The sequence below is a fragment of the Homo sapiens genome, chromosome 6 (assembly GCF_000001405.40).
Source record: "Homo sapiens chromosome 6, GRCh38.p14 Primary Assembly".
Classification (NCBI taxonomy): domain Eukaryota; kingdom Metazoa; phylum Chordata; class Mammalia; order Primates; family Hominidae; genus Homo; species Homo sapiens.
In genome coordinates this window covers 32,818,887-32,839,168 of record NC_000006.12, presented here as the reverse complement: position 1 = coordinate 32,839,168, position 20,282 = coordinate 32,818,887, and the positions used below count along the sequence as shown (strand labels likewise).

The following is a 20,282-nucleotide window of genomic DNA, read 5'->3' as shown; positions in this document are numbered from 1 at the left end:
TCCCAAAGTGCTGTGATTACAGGCGTGAGCCACCGCGCCGGACCAGAAAGAAGGCACTTCTTAATAGTAGGCTCAGAGCTTGAAGTAGTAACTTTGAGAAAATTCAGTGATTCTCCAATTACAAAGCATTCTCCAATTACAAAGCAAGGACAACAGATAAAGTTGCCCTTGAGACAACTGTATTTTACTTAATGATAAAGAAACATTTTTGCAGTTTTATATCCCAGAGTAACCGCCACTAAAGGCGAGTGAGACTCATTGCAGGCCTGTACAGTGCGAACCAGAGTTCGGGCTCCAGTTCCGCTGTCTGCGGGTCTCGCGCGCCCCCTCCCGGCGGCCCAGCCCAGAATGAAGGCCTTGGCTGGGGAAGCGAAAGCGAAAGCTGCCCGAGCCCTGACGCCCGCCCTGGCCGAGCGTAGCTGGCGGACCAGAGCCGGTAGCGAGGTTGGGAGAGACGGAGCGGACCTCAGCGCTGAAGCAGAAGTCCCCGGAGCTGCGGTCTCCCCGCCGCGGCTGGTGAGTTGGTGCGGAGGGGAACCTGGAGCGCCAACAGGGACGCAGCCCAAGTGACTACCCACTCCACGCTCCTGCTTCCCAGTCCCTCTGCACCCGGCGATAGGAGGGAGCGGAGCCCGGACCACTTAGCTCGCCGCGGCAGGCGGGGGTGGGGGTGGGGGTCCGGGGATTTTTTTTTTTTTTTTTTAAGCACGAGGCTCCTGATGGTCATGCTTCCAGCTCCCCAGAAGGCCGAAAGCTGTCTGTCGTAGGAGGGGTGTACGGATGAGCACCGGTTACTCAGGAGAGCTCTCAGGGTTGAATAGGATAAAATGAGAAGCCGATGGACGGGTTAGGCGGAGCCGGGCGGGTAGGAGGGCAGGGACAAGGATTGGGACTCCACCCCCATGATTTCTCATCTCGTATCCGTTGACAGAGCCATGCGGCTCCCTGACCTGAGACCCTGGACCTCCCTGCTGCTGGTGGACGCGGCTTTACTGTGGCTGCTTCAGGGCCCTCTGGGGACTTTGCTTCCTCAAGGGCTGCCAGGACTATGGCTGGAGGGGACCCTGCGGCTGGGAGGGCTGTGGGGGCTGCTAAAGCTAAGAGGGCTGCTGGGATTTGTGGGGACACTGCTGCTCCCGCTCTGTCTGGCCACCCCCCTGACTGTCTCCCTGAGAGCCCTGGTCGCGGGGGCCTCACGTGCTCCCCCAGCCAGAGTCGCTTCAGCCCCTTGGAGCTGGCTGCTGGTGGGGTACGGGGCTGCGGGGCTCAGCTGGTCACTGTGGGCTGTTCTGAGCCCTCCTGGAGCCCAGGAGAAGGAGCAGGACCAGGTGAACAACAAAGTCTTGATGTGGAGGCTGCTGAAGCTCTCCAGGCCGGACCTGCCTCTCCTCGTTGCCGCCTTCTTCTTCCTTGTCCTTGCTGTTTTGGGTGAGTCAGGAGAGGACGTTGTGAGTTGGAGGTGGTAAAAGGGCCTGGGCACCAGCACATTCTTGTGTTATTTTTCATGCCTCTTTCAGGTGAGACATTAATCCCTCACTATTCTGGTCGTGTGATTGACATCCTGGGAGGTGATTTTGACCCCCATGCCTTTGCCAGTGCCATCTTCTTCATGTGCCTCTTCTCCTTTGGCAGGTAGGTGGTGGGCAGCTGGGTCCATTTGCTAGCCCCAAATCTTTATAGGGGTCTTCACTTCCCTAACTCCATTTCTAGGCCCTTTCAGGCGCAAAACACAAAAATACTTAAACTAAAATATGGTGAATGTAGTCACCATTCTGTTTCATCTATCCATTCATTTCTTCCTTCGTTCATATTCATCCAATATCTTCAAAGTTTATCTGATCTTATTATAGGAACAAGTTATGAGTGAAGGTAGTACAAAAGGAATTTAAGTCTCAGATGGAATGTCTCTCAGTTGTCTCTCAACATTCCTAGGTCCATGAAATTCCATTTCTTTCTGCCTCCTACCTCCTACCCCTAAGTCTGTCTCCAAAGTATCTCTCCAGGGTCACTCCCTCAGGATGGGTATGCTTCTCCCTTTCACTCTTCTTTCCCAGCTCATCTTGCCAGTCCCTGAAGATCTTACTCTGAGGCTTATCACCTTTCTTTCCAGAATCATTACTCTTTTCCCTTCACTTGCTTTCCTTTCTCTTTCTAGACATACTCAAACAAACAAACTGTTTGATAAGGCTGGGACTGGGATGAGGTGAGCGAGGCACCTGGGGTGCAAAGTTTAAGGAGGTGTGCACTCACCTTACCCAAATCCCAGCCGGCCTGATTGTCTCTATTTTTATGGTCATACTTAATTTAGAGTACCCTCGAAAACCATTTCATTGTGCCTTCATTCCATCCTGGCTGCTTTCTGCTGAAACTACAGTCGTGCACTGCATAACGAAGTTTAGGTCAATGATGGGCCACATATAAGATGGTGGACCCACAAGATTATAATACCATATTTTTACTGTACCTTTTCTATGTTTAGATACACAAATACTTACTTCTGTGTTACAGTCGCCCACAGTGTTAGGTGCAGTTATATGTTGTACAGATTTGTAGCCTAGGAGCAATAGGCTAAACTACATGGCCTAGGTGTGCAGTAGGCTATGACATCTAGGTTTGTGTAAGTACACTCTATGATGTTCATACAACGATGAAACCATCTAACGACACATTTCTCAGAACACATCCCTGTCATTAAAGTACAAACCCTCATTATATCATGTCTGACTCTCCCAAACGCCTCTTCAATATGGTAACTAAATTTGTATTAGAAACATATATTTTGTAAAATACATGCTTTTATGCTTTATATTTTTTCCTCTAAGTGTTACTGTAGCATGTAGTTGGTCTAAGAGGGATTTTCCAACTCGAAGGATGAAAGATGGGAATCACATGACTCTGGGGCTCCAGAGAATTGTGGGGGCAGGGAATTTATTATTGCAGTTCCCATGATGAAGTATCTATGATGACAGAGAAGGGCTTTGGGTATGGGGCAGGAAGGAGACCAAGGCGGAGGAGACGCACAGAGGGACAAGCCTGAGGGACGCTGGGACAGAAGCAAGCACTGGGATACTTGTTTTCACAATATCTTTTCCCTTCTATTGTAGTTTTCTATTGTGTCTAGTACAGAGTGCACTCCATAAATACTTGTAAATTTGTACATGTTATGATTTTGTTCTCACATCTAGCTCACCATGTCTCCTCTTTCTTCTTCCTCTGTGTATTCCTTACCTCTTCTCTCTCTGTGTGTCTGTCTCTCATTTCTTTCTCTTTTGCCCCTCCTGGCATGCTTTCCCCTGACTTTGCGCTTCTCTGCACTCCTGGCTTGCTCCTCTGTTTCACCCGCTGGCTTGCTCCTTCTCTGCATCTCCCTCCCCTCTTATTCTCCTACCCCACAGCTCACTGTCTGCAGGCTGCCGAGGAGGCTGCTTCACCTACACCATGTCTCGAATCAACTTGCGGATCCGGGAGCAGCTTTTCTCCTCCCTGCTGCGCCAGGACCTCGGTTTCTTCCAGGAGACTAAGACAGGTGGGGCCTGGAGTCCAGGTCTGAGATTCCCATGGACATCCCTTGCCCCTCAGTGACCTTCCACCCACAGCCTCTCCTCCTGCCTTCACCCGTATGCCAGGACTTGGGGATGCTTTTCTCTTGTTTGGGACAGGGTGGAGAAGCAGCCTCCACTGTCCCTCTGCAAGTGAAGGAGGATGTTCAGAGGAGGGGGCTGTGTCAGAGGGAACGGTCAGGAGGGAGTTTCTGGGGGCCCTGCAGTACACATGGTTTCCTTTTTCCTCACCTGCTCTGTCCTTCTTAGGGGAGCTGAACTCACGGCTGAGCTCGGATACCACCCTGATGAGTAACTGGCTTCCTTTAAATGCCAATGTGCTCTTGCGAAGCCTGGTGAAAGTGGTGGGGCTGTATGGCTTCATGCTCAGCATATCGCCTCGACTCACCCTCCTTTCTCTGCTGCACATGCCCTTCACAATAGCAGCGGAGAAGGTGTACAACACCCGCCATCAGGTGAGCGTGCATGTAAGGGAACCCCAAAGGGAGAATAAAACTGACAGGTGAGGAGGCTTCCACATTTGTGGCTAGAGGATCCCCTAGAGAGAGATGTTCTCTTCTCAGCCATTAGGGGAGAAGGTATATTGTAGTATATACTACATTTTGTTTGTCCAGCCATCCAACAATGGATATTTGACTTCAGAAGATTCATGATTCTCCAGAACTGTAAACAAAAATGTAAAGTGTATGTGAAGGTATGGGGGAGGGAATAGGAAGGGGAGATGATAGGCGATGATAACTTTTCATTAGCTTCTCAAAGGAGTCTGTACATCCCCCGCCCCCACTGCGAAGATTAAAAATGGTTTCTTAGAGGCTTTTAGGCAGGGAGATTTTCCCTTTAAAATCAGCAGAAGAAGTCTGGATGCAGCATAGGGAAAGGAGGCGTCATCAGGAAGTCCTAAGTCTGAATGTCAGCTCCACCTTCTCTTTTTCTCTTATATTGTGGTAAAACATACATAACATAAAATTTACCATTTCAACCATTTGAAGTGTACAGTTCAGTGACATTTAGGAAACCCACATTGTTATTGGGTAACCATCATCACCATCCATCTCCAGAACTTTTTTCATCTTCCTAAAATGAAACTCTGTACCCACTAAATAGTAACTGCCTACTACCCCCAACCCCTGGCCGCTGGCAACCTCCATTGTACCTTCTGTCTCCATGAATTGTGATGACTCCCGGTGCGGTACGTAAGTGGAACCATACAGTATTTGTCTTTTTGTGACTGGCATATTTTACTTAGCGTAATGTCTTCAGGCCTCATCCATATTGTAGCATGTGTTAGAATTTCCTCCCTTTTAAGGCTGAATAATATTCTGTTGTGTGCATATATCACATTTTGATTATCCATTCATCTGTCAATGGACATTTGCGTTGTTTCCACCTTTTGGCTGTTGTGAATTATGCTGCTGTGGACATGAGTGTACACCTGTTTGAAACCCTGCTTTTGGTTCTTTTGGGTATATACTTAGAAGTGGAGCTGCTGGATCATATGGCAATTCTATTTAACAATTTTTGAGGAACCATGTATTAGTCCATTTTTACGCTGCTGATAAAGACATACCCAAGATTGGGCAATTTACAAAAGAAAGAGGTTTATTGGACTTACAGTTCCATGTGGCTGGGAAGACCTCAAATCATGGCGGAAGGTGAAAGACACATTTCACATGGCAGCAGACAAGAGAAAAGACAGCTTGTGCAGGGGAATTCCCCTTTTTAAAACCATTATATCTCGTGAGACTTATTCAATATCACAAGAACAGCATGGGAAAGACTTGCCCTCATGATTCAATTACCTCCTACCCAGTCCCTCCCACAACACATGGGAATTCAAGATCAGATATGGGTAGGGACACAGCCAGATCGTATCAAACCACCATACAGTTTTCCATAGCGGCAGCACCATTTTAAATTCCCACCAGCAGTGCATAAGGTTTCCAATTTCTCCACATCCTCATCAACACCACTTTCTGTTGTCTTTTTTTTTAATAGCCATTCTAATGGTGATTAGGTGATTAGGATTATCTCATTGTGGTTTTGATTTGCATTTCCCTAATGATTAGTAAATATTGAGCATCTTTTCGTGTGATTTTGGCCACTTATGTTTCTTTCTTGAAAGAATGTCTGCAAGTTCTTTGCCCATTTTCTGATTTTTTTTTAAGTTGTGGGAGTTCACTATATGTTTTGCCTATTAATTTCCTATCAGATATATGATTCACAAATATTTTCTTGTATTTCATGGTTGCTTTTTCACTCTGTTGCTAGAGTTCTTTGATGCACAAACGTTTTAAATTCTGATGAAGTCTGATTTATCTATTTTTTGTTGCCTGTGCGTTTGGTGTTATATCCAAGAAATCACTGCCAAATCTAGTGGCATGAGGCTTTTCTTCTACATTTTCCTAGGAGTTTTATAGTGTTAGCTCTTATGTTTAGGCCTCTGATCCATTTGGAATTACATCTCCACCTTTCTTAACTATCTGTGGCTCCTTGGGAAAACTACCCTTCTTTCCTGATTCAGACACTGGGGATGGGAAAATTACCTCAAATGAAGGTTAAAAAAATTGCATGTATCTCCTATACTACCTAACACTGAGAGCTCAATAATATTTTGTTCCCTTGCTCCTTCACTCTTATTCCTTCTGGAAAGAAGAGTAAGGAAGAGGGAGAGAAACAGTTTGGTATTTTTAGGTAGACTAGGGAGCATCTCACTGGCTGGAGTAAGATGTGGGGGCCTGCTGTCTTTGCACATCAGCCCTGGTGTTTGCTGGCCCTCTTTTCCAGGAAGTGCTTCGGGAGATCCAGGATGCAGTGGCCAGGGCGGGGCAGGTGGTGCGGGAAGCCGTTGGAGGGCTGCAGACCGTTCGCAGTTTTGGGGCCGAGGAGCATGAAGTCTGTCGCTATAAAGAGGCCCTTGAACAATGTCGGCAGCTGTATTGGCGGAGAGACCTGGAACGCGCCTTGTACCTGCTCGTAAGGAGGGTAAGATACCAGAGTGGTTGTGAAAGGAGCCCAGGAAAGGGGGAGGGCAAGGGAAGAGGAAACTACAGCTGGTTCTAGAGGCCTTTGCAGCTCAGTCTCATAGAGGCAGAGAGGGGGAAAGAATGGGAAGATTCCCAGCCTCATCTCTTTCTTCTCCTCTTCCAGGTGCTGCACTTGGGGGTGCAGATGCTGATGCTGAGCTGTGGGCTGCAGCAGATGCAGGATGGGGAGCTCACCCAGGGCAGCCTGCTTTCCTTTATGATCTACCAGGAGAGCGTGGGGAGCTATGTGCAGGTGAGCGAGAAGCCAAGCCTGCTCTCCTTTTTTCCCTCTCTTTTTCTTTGTGGACTCCTGGGCCTTGGGCTTTATTTGTTCTTTTTAACAATACAATACAAAACCAAAACCCGCAAGTAATTTTGCTATGGAGAATTTTAAACATATGCCAAAAATGAGACAAAATAATATTACAAACTCACATGTATACATCCTGTGCTTTAACAATGATCAACTCATGCCCAATCTTGTTGGATCTGTATCCCCAGCCACTTCCCCCCACCCATATTATTCTGAAGCAAATCCAAGATATTGTATACTTTCATCTGTAAATATTTCAGTATGTTTCTTAAAAATACAAACATCTTTAAAAGTGTATAACAACAAAGCCATTATCACACCAAAAAATTAACAGTAGTTCTTAAAATTTATCAAATAGTCAATTGTCAAATTTCCACTTGTGGTATCCATGTAGTATATGTGTATGAGTGTGTTTATTATACTTTGCTTAAATCAGGATCCAGAAATGGTCCACATATTGTGACTGGTTGATACATCTTTTAAGTCTGTCTGTCTATCTATCTATCCATCCATCTATCCATCCATCCACCCATCAATCCATGTATCTGTCTAAAAGTTTCCCTTGCACAGTTTATTTGTTGAAGAAATAGGTTGTTTGTCCTGTGGAGTTTCTTAGGGTCTGGATTTTGTTGACTGAATCCCTGTGGTATTATATGCTCTTCTGCCTCTGTACTTCCTGTCTATTGATAGATAAACCTAGAAGCTTGTGAGATTGAGGGGTTTTTTTTGGTCTTTTTCCAGCAACAGTACTTTTTAGGTGGTGATGCATTCTTCCTCCAAGAGGCACACAATGTCTGGTTCTCTATTTGTGGCAACATCAGCCACTGATGAGCAGTACCTACATCCATGACAGAATTAGGGCTGCAAAAGGGAGATACTCTATCATTCTTCATGTATTAGCTGAAGTAGTCTATGAAGGGAGACTTCCCCTCATCTACCATTTCATTACCCGGTGGTACAGTTTGATGAGGAAAGGCAGAGTGAGCATTTAGATCTCTTCCTACATTTACCAGTTCTCAAAAACAGCTACTTCATCCAGGGCTTTATTTAAACATTTTCCTAGACACTTGATAAACATCTTTTTTGTGTAGAGAACTGCGCTGGGCACTCTGACGGCTACAAAGGTGAGTTGGGCACAGTGCCTGCATTTAAGGAGCTCCCCGTCTAATCAAGCAAGACAGAACTGGGCACAAGTAATAGGAAGCAGTAACTGAAAAGATCTGGGGCTAGAGGCAATGCTGTATGGTAGGAGAAGGGACTGTATATCCTTTATATTGCAAATTGGAACACTGGGGTATTGGTGCCACTTTTAAATTCCGTCCAAATTGTACATTTAAAAGTGGAGAATCTCTTTTGAGTATGGAGGAGGAGCAGTGCAGTTGTGAGTGGAGTGTGTGAGGAGTTGGGAGGGTGGTTTCTGGTAGAAGTGTGTTTAATTAGCCGGCTCTCCCATTCCTGTTTTCCAGACCCTGGTATACATATATGGGGATATGCTCAGCAACGTGGGAGCTGCAGAGAAGGTTTTCTCCTACATGGACCGACAGCCAAATCTGCCTTCACCTGGCACGCTTGCCCCCACCACTCTGCAGGGGGTTGTGAAATTCCAAGACGTCTCCTTTGCATATCCCAATCGCCCTGACAGGCCTGTGCTCAAGGTGCCTGAAAGAGGGAGGAAACCTGGACCCTTGCTCTCTGCTGCTAATGCATAATTGGACATCACAGCCTATAGTTCATTTGCCTCTGAGAACCTGGTCTTGCCTCTGCTAAGAAGAGAAATGGAGGGATTTTGAGGGAGAAGGGGCAGGCCCTTAACTCTTTTTCTGGTTTTCTAGGGGCTGACGTTTACCCTACGTCCTGGTGAGGTGACGGCGCTGGTGGGACCCAATGGGTCTGGGAAGAGCACAGTGGCTGCCCTGCTGCAGAATCTGTACCAGCCCACAGGGGGACAGGTGCTGCTGGATGAAAAGCCCATCTCACAGTATGAACACTGCTACCTGCACAGCCAGGTGGGTGAGGAGGGAGAAGACAGGGGACAGGAGAGGGGAGCATGTACAGAGAGAGGATGGGAGATCCACGGGAAGGCGCACCAGGTGTTCATTCTGAGGGAGGTAGGTGGGGAGGACAAAAGGGCCCCTGCCTTGGGGGTTTACACATAGTCCTCTGCCCCTGTCCCTGCTGCACAGGTGGTTTCAGTTGGGCAGGAGCCTGTGCTGTTCTCCGGTTCTGTGAGGAACAACATTGCTTATGGGCTGCAGAGCTGCGAAGATGATAAGGTGATGGCGGCTGCCCAGGCTGCCCACGCAGATGACTTCATCCAGGAAATGGAGCATGGAATATACACAGGTATCTTCTACAAATTGTAAGCTTGCTCCTTCAGTAAAAAAGAGAAAATCAGACTTACTCTTAGTGGTGAAGGTCGTGTCCCTGTAGCTTGATGTTTGCTGTTCCTCTGCCCTTTCCTCCATTCCTACGTCTCCTTCCCCACACACTGAATTCTTCAGCCTCCCTCTTGATCAAGAGTCTTTGTTTGCAGAGAGCAATGCAGCAGTGGTGCTCCCTCCGTGGGCAGCCCCGTCAGGTCCCCACCCCATGGCCCTCCTCCCACTGGGCCCTCCCCGCACTGGGCCCTCCCACCTCCCGAGGTCCTACTGGAAGTACCTGCTGTGCACTTGTCCCTCCTTGTGTGTTGTCTGTGTCACTTGTATCTGAGGAAGGGAATTTCTCTGATTTCCTCAGATGTAGGGGAGAAGGGAAGCCAGCTGGCTGCGGGACAGAAACAACGTCTGGCCATTGCCCGGGCCCTTGTACGAGACCCGCGGGTCCTCATCCTGGATGAGGCTACTAGTGCCCTAGATGTGCAGTGCGAGCAGGCCGTGAGTACCGTGAGAGGGCAGGGGACAGTGGGGCCTGGGAGGGGCATGCTGGGAGGATCAGACTGTGCAGAATTGGGCAGAGGGAGGACGAAGGACCTACTAGTGGAAACAGTCTGTGCCTTCTTGGGGTTGGGGAATGGAATCCGGTGGTGTGAGGGCAGCCCCAGTTCCCTCCTGGGCTTCCATTCCTCCAGCTGTGGCAGTACAGCCGGGAGAGAAGGGCAGTCCAGGCCTTTATCTACTGCCCTTTCCTACCTTCTTTTATTTCACACCTTCTTTACCCTAAATCATAAGAGATGGTGCCCAGGTGGATGTGGTGTCCATCTCATTCCTGTCTTTCTGAGGCACTGTGATCACCCCTTCAGCTGCAGGACTGGAATTCCCGTGGGGATCGCACAGTGCTGGTGATTGCTCACAGGCTGCAGACAGTTCAGCGCGCCCACCAGATCCTGGTGCTCCAGGAGGGCAAGCTGCAGAAGCTTGCCCAGCTCTAGGAGGGACAGGACCTCTATTCCCGCCTGGTGCAGCAGCGGCTGATGGACTGAGGCCCCAGGGATACTGGGCCCTCTTCTCAGGGGCGTCTCCAGGACCCAGAGCTGTTCCTGCTTTGAGTTTCCCTAGAGCTGTGCGGCCAGATAGCTGTTCCTGAGTTGCAGGCACGATGGAGATTTGGACACTGTGTGCTTTTGGTGGGGTAGAGAGGTGGGGTGGGGTGGGGTGGGGGCTGTCTGTGTCCAGGAAACTTAATTCCCTGGTGACTAGAGCTTTGCCTGGTGATGAGGAGTATTTTGTGGCATAATACATATATTTTAAAATATTTTCCTTCTTACATGAACTGTATACATTCATATAGAAAATTTAGACAATATAAAAAAGTACAAAGAAGAAAAGTAAAAGTACCCATTGTTTCACTTCCTGGAGATAACCATAGTTGCTATTTTGCTGCCTGTCCCATCAGTCGTTTATCTGTTGTTTGAGATAGAAATTAACCAAAAATGACATAAATATTCATGAGATTGCCTTCCTATATCCTTCCTTGTTCCTACCAGTGTCTGCTATTTTGAAGAAGCTAGGGTCTGGAGGGACAGAGAACAGTTCCCTGATTAACAGTATTAATAGCGACATTGGTAACAGCTACCATTTATAGAGTTTTAATGGGAGTAGGAGCTATGCTAAGTGTTTTTCATGTATTATCGTTTTTAATCATTATCCCCAACCCTATGAGGTTGGTTATTATCCCCATTTTACAGATGAGGAAACTGAAGCTCAAAGAGGCTCAATGACTTTCCCAAGGTGGTCGTAGTGGTGGAGTTGGAGTTTGAACACAGGCCTGACCCTAGAGTCCACACCCTGACCCAATCAATTATATTGCATCTTGGGTCCATAAACCCTAATCCATAATCCCATCAAGAAAAGCTCTGCTGCTCTTAGCTCTAAATAATTCAGAATCTATTCTCTTCTCTCCAGTCCCGTTGTTATAGTCTTCACTCATAGACTTAAGATGATCCCATCACCAGAGAGGTTTCTCTACCATTAGCTTCCCTCTTCCGGCCATTCTTCACAAAGTCATTTTTCTAAATTCTGTGTCACATACGATGATGGCATTTCTGGAAATTCCTTCAGGTGCTCTCAAGCCCTGCTGCAGAGATCCTTTTCAGAGCACACACTGTTCCAGCCCATCTGTCTCACCCTCTCCTGTTGTATCCAGCTCCACGACAAACTTCTGCCTTCCCCAACACCTTTGTGCCTTTGCATATGGTGTTTTCTTGCCCATTTTCTGCTCGACTCGCCCCTGATTTTCAAGTTCAAGACTTAACTCAGGGTTCAGGTCTTCCAGGAGGCCTTACTTATGTCGTCAGTCTGGGGAACTCTCCATGTGCTTCTATCACTGTGCGGTTACCTCTTTCACAGCCCTTTTAAAGTTCTATCTTCCCTTTCCCACCTTTTTTGACCTTCCACTAGACCATGAGCACCTGGGCGGAAAGCCATATATCTTATTAAGCTTTATATCTGCTACCTGGCCGAGGGCCTAATTCATAGTGGAGAATAAATAGTCAATTGAATAAATGAATAAATATCTCCACCATCGTACTAATCTTAATCCTCCCTGCCCACTCCCACCACTGAAAATGCAACATTGTACACATCACTGGTTGTTGGGAGGGACTTACCTTGGAAAGTTGCTATTCTAGGAAAGAGAAACCTTCATATTCCTGGAAACAGCAGGTAGTTTCCAGTGCTGGCAATGAATTCCCCAGAACTGCTGTTTTGGATTTTTTCTTGCCTGGCAGCTGTTGGGAGCAGGGTGCAGTGAGGATGGGGTGAGAGTGGGCAGTTTCTTGTGCAGATTTGCCTTTCTTTCATCCTGGGGCTGACTTGCAGCTCCACACCCATCCATCTCTCAAATTTCACAGAGGGTAAAATAGGCATTTGGAGAGAAAGAACTCTGGCCTGATTCCTTTCTCTCCCACAAATGTCCTTTATTCATAAAACAGGAATAATAATTCCTGTATCTCCCAACTACATGGAAGCTGCAGCCCTCACAGAAGAAGATGATCTGAGAAATTCTTTGATTTCCTCAGTACAGTTATACCCATGCATCATAATACTTTAAGCCTGGAAGGCATCTTAAAAATAATGCAACAGTCAAACCTAATTTTACAGAGAAACTGACATGAAATCACGCAGCTAATCATGATAAAGCTGGGTGGAAAACTTATCTTGATGGGCAGTACAGGAAGATGCAGTAGACCTTAAGATGTCCTGAAAGTTTCTTATCTCAGGGGAAACTCCCAGGTAGGCTTTATGTCAGGGACACAGAAAAATGCTCCCTGAAAGTCAAAATATTCGGGCTAGACAGACAAATTCCTGTAAGTGTGGTTTGTCTGGGAACCACAGATGTCACTAATCCTGGTTTGCTCCAGAGTTCTTTTTGTTCACTCCTACCCCCCATCACCATTTGATTGATCTCCTTACCCTGTAATTTCCCCTTCTTGTCGCTTACCTGCAGTATCTTTCCCACCCAGGCATGCCTTATTCTTTCTAAAGGAAAGTATGAATGGAGAGGGGAAAGCTTGGGAAACTGATAGATTTCCTTGGATGCCAAAACACCTCCATAGCCTGTCTGCCCGGCCCTATGTGGAAACAGCATTGAGTTTCAAGTCCTTTATGCCTCCACCCAGGGATAGCCACTTGTAATCCACATGGCAATTGTGAAACAAGCAGGAAATGCGTAATTGTCAGAATTTTGTGGGGAAAGGACTAGGGAATAAGGAAAACAAAGATCTTCCTTGTGTTTTAGAGCTGTCAGCTAGAGGAGCACCTGCTTGAGTCTGATGCCATCTAATGGTCCCAGAAGAAACTGGGTTTTGAACCTAGAGTTCCATGGACTCTTAGGAATTAGACTACTACTACTACTAAGCATTCACTGGTGCTTACTATGTGCTATTGCTGTGCCAAGTATCTGAAACCTGTCTTCTTACCTTATTTTTCAAGATAATTCTATGTGGCAGGTATTACTATCTCAATTCTAAGAGTGAGAAAATGGAGTTTTAGAAACATTTACTAACTTGCCTGGGTCACATAGCTAAGGAAGAGGTGGACTTGCCCAGCTTTGCATAAAACTCCTCAAAAGAGTTGCCTATACTCCCTGACTCCACTTATCTTCCTACTATCCTCTTTTTAAAATATATTATTTATTTATTTAAATAAGCAATATATGAATGTGGTTTGAAATTCAAAAGACACAAAGAAGTATACAGAGGAAAGCCTCACTCTCAATCCTTCTCAAGGTTTGCTAATTCCTCTTGCATAGGCAATCCGTTCTTCCAGCTTTGTGTTTATCTTTCCAGAGAAGTTTACTGTGTATTAAGCAAATATGTATATCTTTATTCTTGCTCAGTATTTTCGCAAACAGCAGCTGTCTAAGTTCACTGTTCTGAACTTTATTTTTTAAATTAAAAATATATGGCTATGTAGTATTCTATTTTATGGAAGTTCCATATTTCATTTATCCTGTTTCCTTCTACTGATGGCTAGTTAGGTTATTGGAAGTCTTTTGCTGTTGCTAGTTAGTCTTGTATAGACATTGTAATGCACATGTGCAAAAATACAAGTATGATACAATCTTAAAGGGGAGTTGCTGAGTCCAATATATACATTACAAATATTGATAGATATTGCAAAATTGCCTTCATAGAGGCTATATTAATTTATAGTTCCAGCAGCAACATATGAGTTTATCTGTTTCTCCATATATATATATATGTATATAACCAACAGACAGTGTTAATTTTTAAAATTTTGACAATCTTCTGGGTGAAAGTAGCATTGTATTGTAGTTATCATTTGCTTTTTAATATTATCATGTAAGTAACAGAGATACTAAACCCAGAAGGATAAGGGAGCAAAGATGAGAAAAATAAACACACACACAAACAACAATAACAAATCTGTCTAAAATATTGGAAAATCAGAATGAGAAATGAAATATGACTGTAACGATAAAAATCAGTAATAAAAATGACTATTAAATTTAAAAATAAGGCAGAGCAACCACAAGTGACATGAGAATGAGGCAGACAAAGTTAAAGCACCTAAAGTCTTTGTCTTGTTTGAAAGGAGGGTAGAGATATTGATTACCTTCAGATGCTGCCACATTTGGTAAACATGTTAAAAATATAAGACTGACTTTTAACTAATATAATTAGAATTTAAAATTCCTAAATCAGTAAGGGGAAATTAAATAATACTTTAAATAAAAATGTAATTGATTTAATATAAGTGATGCAAGGAAAACAAAAGAAGCAAAGTAAGACATAGCAAATACAGAGCACCATATATTGTAACAGAAACGAATGTAAATAGCACAGTGATCACAAGTATAAATAGCTTAAATATGGGAGTTAAAGGAAAGTTCTCAGATTAGATTAACAATATCGCAAAATCCAGTTATATGCCCTTCATAAGATCACAAGAAACCTAAAAACATGAAAATGTTAAATCAAAACCAGATATAAGATACACAAAGCAAACACTAACAGAAGACAGAAAGACAGCTTATGTAATTACAGAAATATCTAAACATATAGTCTAAAACCAAAGGCATTAGTAAAAACAAAGACAGCCATTACATAGTGATAATGAAGTCACCAGAACATTATACTAAAACTGAATCAGTTTGCACCTAGCAATAAAACTACAAAATATGTAAGAAATATAGGAGAATTATAGGAAGAAATTAATTGAGAAATTGAAACACATTTCTCAATGATTATAGAATAAGTGGAAAAATGAATAAGGATATCAAATAAGCCTGTTGATGTTCTTGTCTGTAACATCTAGGAATCAAAATATATTCTTTAAAACTAATAAATCAAGTGCTCGTATTTACACATTTAAGACTACAAAGGTAGACACACACACAGAAAGAGGAAGGGAGAGGATATGAGCTAGTTTTGTGATTGTTCATTATTTAAAACTAATAGGAATTATCTAAAGGAAGAGGGAACTAAGTGTATTATATACAAATAAACTTATCAAAGCAACCTTGAAATATACACCTTCCTTAATATCTGAAAAGGTAAAATTTTTAAAATGCACAATAAAGACATAGTGAAAGATTTTTAAAAATACTCATGTAAACATTATACTTAACAGAAGTTAATATCTCTGAATTAGACTGAATCTATTTGCTGTATGAATAATTATAAATGGGCTTCTTAACTGAACTAAATAAATGAAAATATTTTTAAATTAGATTAAGATAAAAACTCTATTATTTGCAATATGCAAAAGACACCTAACATAAAGCCACTCAGAAAGATGTATTCATTATTTTCAACAAATAAGATGATGGGCAAAGACATAACAAGAGAAGGCAAACAAAAGGGAAGCAGAGGTCACATTCGTCTTACCAAACAAGATGAAATTCAGACACTCCTCACCAAAAAAAAAAAAAAAAAAAAAAAATTGAGTGTGACAAGAAGGGCACTTTATAATGTAAAGTATAAAATTCATATGAATATATGAGACATGTGTTTAAGTTCTAAATACCAAATAGGTAGCTCTTATAAAGCAGAAATTAAGGTAGATACAAGGAAAATATTCAGAAATGTACTACCAATAGAACACTTTAATTCCCTTTCCCTGGACTAGACCAGTTAAGTGGACAAAAAAATAGGCTGGGCCTGGTGATTCATGCCTGTAATCTCAGCACTTTGGTAGGCCAAGGCGGGCGGATCACCTGAGGTCAGGATTTCGAGGGCAGCCTGGCCAACATGGTGAAACCCTGTCTCTACCAAAAATACAAAAATTAGCTGGGTGTGGTGGTGGGCGCCTGTAATCCCAGCTACTTGGGAGGCCGAGGCAGGAGAATTGCTTGAATCTGGGAGGCAAAGGTTGTAGCGAGCCAAGATCGCACCACTGCACTCCAGCCTGGGCGGCACAGTGAGACTCTGCCTCAAAAAAAAAAAAAAAAAAAAGTATGAACACAGAAGATAGAAGATATTACTATCAATAAAAAAATAGATATGCTACATCTATATCAAACTTTTAAAATTGAAAATAGAGGCCGGGTGCAGTGGCTCACACCTATAATCCCAGCACTTTGGGAGGCCTAAGCAGTCGGATTGCTTGAACTCAGGAGCTCAAGACCAGTGTGGGCAACAGCGAAAACCCGTCTCTACAAAAAATACAAAAATTAGCCAGATGTGGTGGCTCGTGCCTGTGGTTTCAACTACTTGGCTGAGGTGGGAGGATCGCTTGGGCCCAGTTCAAGGCTGCAGTGAGCTATGATTGTGCCACTGCACTCCAGCCTGGGCAACAGAGTGAGGCCTTGTCTCTAAAACAAACAAACAAACAAACAAAAATTAAATGGCTCAATGGCATAGAAGAAAATTTTTTTATGAAGCAAGTATAATATTGATGTTAAACTATGACAATGCACAAATATAAAAATTGTAGATGAATTTACTTATTATACTGACACAAAAATCCTAAATAAAACATTGCAAACAGATTCTAGCACAGATTAAAAAACACCCATTAAGATCAAGGGGTTTTTTTTGTTTTTTTTTTCTAGAAAACCCTTTGGAAGTTCATGATATTTTGAATTTCAATGGATATTTCCTGGGAATAATGAGTTCAAATGAACGAATATGTGGAACAAAGCATCACCAACATTTATTTTTTCAGGATGAGGTGATGGACAAAACCATCACAGGGAAATTGAGGCAAATAGTACATGTAAAACAATACTTCGGGTGAGTCCACCTATCCCAAAGTCGTATCAAAGAAGTGGCTGCAGATTGGAGCCCAAAGCCTTTGGTTCCTCAGTTTCCAAATGGATTCTCACTAGGTGGGATCATGAGTTTGCTTTGGACACCCCAAATTCTAACTATTTCTTTTGTTTCTTACATCCTTTCCCTCTTCCCCAGCCCCTTCCCCTCATGTTACACCTCTTGCTGGTTTGAGACGTCAATCACCACTGAGAAAGAATTAAACCAGTATTTTGAGCTGGCAAAATTCTTAGCCTAGTACAATTCCTTCAATTAAACTGTAGCTCAACAATGTGTTCTCTAAAAGTATGATTTAATATTCTACCTAGAAACTCAGAATATTTTTCATAACTCCTCCAGGGCAGTGTGGATTATGTTGATGTGTTAGGAGGAAGTAGAAGGAAGAAAATGAATTGAGATGTACGTTTTACTTCCATGTCAAAGTCACCAAAATAGCAGTTGAAGGGATATTTGTGTCAGGCAATAGGGAGAATAATAATTTTATGCCACCCTCAAAAAACAACCACACATACACCCAAATTCTCTCACTCCTCAGAGAAAGGGGAAGGAAAGAAAAGAGAGAAGCAAAATATGAGCTTGAGTGAAAAATCACAGAGGAGCCTGTAGCTATTTAGGGAGGGCTGCTGGCTGAAGTCAGGCAGGAAAAAAAGATCAAAACACCCTGCCCTATTTTTCAGGCTCGTTCAAGTAGAAGACAAAAACATAAATACAGGAGAAAGGAAGAAAACCACATCTTTTTCCTCTTGTCTCCCCAGAACTGAACAGTGTCTCTGATAAGCCCAGGCCCTTCTATCGTAGACACTGACACTATGCACAGAAAATGACTCAAAAACGCTTCTAATGGGGGTGAATCTGATGCTTCAGTTTATTTAAGATGTACCAGAGGCCATCTAAGGAGATCCATAGCTTGCTAACTGAAGCTTATTGCTTTCTCTTCTTAGTTCCCATGCCAGGCTCTATGCCATTCCTTGCTTGTCATGTGAGATCACTGATTTCCTTTGGTTAGGTAGGATATGATTTCCTTACAGAGATCTGTCCTGACACCAAACAGCTATGATGAAATTCCTTGGTTATTTTCCCTTTTTGTGTACCTTATCATTACCGGAATGCTAAAGCTGTAGGAATAAAGTTTCCCTGGCTTCCCAAGAAATACAGTGTGACAGAAAAAGTATAGCCTAGGGACTTACTAGTTATGTGAACTTTGGTTCATTCCATCCTTACCTCATCTGTAAAAGGGAGATCATGATAGTATCTACTGCAAAGGGTTTTGTGTGATGATTCTCTCTCTTTCTCTCTCTCTCATACACACACACGCACACATTTATATAATGCTTAGAAAATGAACTCATAATAAGCAATTGACAAACATTAGCTATTATTATGTAGGCAAGTCAGATTTTAGAGTTTGTGAGCCTTAGACACATTTACAGAGAAGAAAGAGCAGCCCTCCTAACTTTCTGGTCCAGCGCCATATCCTCCACTTCCTCCCCATCCCCACATCCCTTGCCATTTATCAACCCCCTCTCTCCTCTAAATCTAAATACAGGCCCCCGTTTGATCCATATTGTCTAGGCCCTTCCTCTCCTCTCCACATGGCCCTTCCTTCAGCTCTGAGGGAAGCTGCAGAAGCCAGCCATGGTGCTGTCTACAAAGAAGGGGACACACGCCTCTTCCACCCGCTCATGCTGTTACTGCATCTGATCATCTCCGTGCCGTGTCCTTGTTCACTTAGCCTGTGTTGAGTGTTTGTCTCCATTTCCAAATGCAATAAAACATCTGGGAAAGACTAAGGTAGGTGTGGGCAGGAAGAAGGGAGGAAGTTAGACCCAGTGGCTTGAGTGCCCTCTGATGCCTCCTTATCCTCGGCTCCACACAAGCCCTCGCCAGTGTGAGCTCCACAGCCATCCACCTGGAGGAGGAGTACTCAAAACCAGGGTCAAATGCCTTGTACTCGGGGGTCTACCAGTAAGCCTGTGGCCAGCCTTCCACTTCATGAATCGTCACATTTACATGAGAGATGTGGAGGGAGAGGGGTCAGCCTCCTAGCTCCTGTCCTGTAGCAGTTAAGTCAAGTCAGGCCAGGCTGTGGTAACCAAGCCAGTACCTTCTTTAAAGAACAGTTGTTTCTCATTCATACAGAGTGTGTTGTAGGTGTGAGTGATTCCCTGGGGCAGCTGCTCTTCATGGTGACTCAGCTAATTAGACTGCTTTTCTACTGGGATTGTGCCATCTCAACACAAGGCTGTCTTGGTTGACTTGGTAGGGGAGGAGGAGAAGAGTCATGCACGAGGAGTTAAATTCTTTGACCAGGAACCTTTTGTTCACTTTCCATTGGTGAGAACGAGTCACACAGCTCCAGGAGAGTAGGAAGTCTAGTTTCTCGTTTTCCATGGGCCTAGGAATTAGAGGATGAACACTAGCGATGTCTTCCACGTCTTGCTCTCTTTTTCTTTACCTGTTATAATCTCCCATGGAGAAGAAATTATTTTTCTGATTGGTCTGATCCAGGCCTCTAACCAAGGGCATTTACTAAGGGTCATAGAACAGTAAAAGGTTGCACAATTGCATCTCACCTCTCTTTTCTGAATCCTGCTTAATTAAAACTTTAAAAACTCACTTACAGACCACTTCTTGCTCTTCTTAGTTATCAAATATATTTTCTTCCAACTCCTTTTTGACAGATCTTGCCTTGTTCTCAGCTGACTCCCTTGCAACCATCTAAATGGAACTTCCTCATTCCCCTTTATCCCCTGCTAATCGTCCTGTCTTTATTCTTTTATCTGAAGAAGTGTACCCTTCTTCCCCCAAGCCTTATGCTCTCTGTCTTAGTCCATTTGTGTTAGTGTAACAAGATACACGAGATAGGGTAATTTATGAAGAACAGAAATTTATTTCTCACAGTTCTGGAAGCTAGAAGTTCAAGGTCATGGCCCTGGAAGATTTGATGCCTTGGCCATCGACCTGAAAAAAGTCACTGAAGTGAACTTGTGGTTACCATGATACCCTGGGTTCATTCTTAACATGCACAGTATAGGCAAATCAGGGGCACATTTCATGCTGAAAGATGATGTGAAATGATGAGTAAACATTGCCCTTTAAATAATAATAACATAGATGGTGAATTACAATTTGCACTTTTGGTTTTATTTGCTTAAAGATAGTGTTTTACTGTCTAGGTTTTACTGAAAGAATACTTAACTAAACACTTGAGTCAA

The 20,282-nt window shown here is 43.8% G+C and overlaps 1 protein-coding gene across 2 annotated transcripts, besides 5 other annotated features; it reads left to right on the top strand.

Moving 5' to 3' along the window:
* TAP2 (transporter 2, ATP binding cassette subfamily B member) lies at window positions 430-17,338 on the top strand. 2 transcript variants are annotated; one of them, NM_018833.3, is made up of 12 exons: window positions 430-516; window positions 932-1,428; window positions 1,518-1,632; window positions 3,396-3,526; window positions 3,810-4,015; window positions 6,345-6,542; window positions 6,708-6,836; window positions 8,363-8,551; window positions 8,729-8,902; window positions 9,080-9,239; window positions 9,633-9,769; window positions 16,851-17,338. In NM_018833.3, exons 2-12 carry the CDS (start codon window positions 936-938, stop codon window positions 16,878-16,880), a joined length of 1,962 nt encoding a protein of 653 aa, NP_061313.2. In that variant the 5' UTR covers window positions 430-516; window positions 932-935; the 3' UTR covers window positions 16,881-17,338. The 2 variants fall into 2 exon arrangements, with proteins under 2 accessions (NP_061313.2, NP_001276972.1); NM_001290043.2 differs by lacking the exon at window positions 16,851-17,338 and adding an exon at window positions 10,135-13,754.
* Window positions 1,475-3,070: a meiotic recombination region, noted in NCBI's record as "this region was identified as a recombination hotspot within the HapMap YRI population". NCBI's record gives the evidence for it as "EXISTENCE:nucleotide sequencing assay evidence [ECO:0000219][PMID:20981099]".
* Window positions 1,475-3,630: a biological region, named in NCBI's record as "meiotic recombination hotspot TAP2".
* Window positions 1,647-2,646: a meiotic recombination region, noted in NCBI's record as "crossovers mapped in sperm cells of males of European ancestry". NCBI's record gives the evidence for it as "EXISTENCE:DNA detection assay evidence [ECO:0005519][PMID:11586303]".
* Window positions 2,011-3,630: a meiotic recombination region, noted in NCBI's record as "this region was identified as a recombination hotspot within the HapMap CEU population". NCBI's record gives the evidence for it as "EXISTENCE:nucleotide sequencing assay evidence [ECO:0000219][PMID:20981099]".
* Window positions 2,224-2,239: a nucleotide motif, noted in NCBI's record as "nucleotide motif; similarity to the predicted 13-mer PRDM9 A binding motif (LD hotspot motif), CCNCCNTNNCCNC".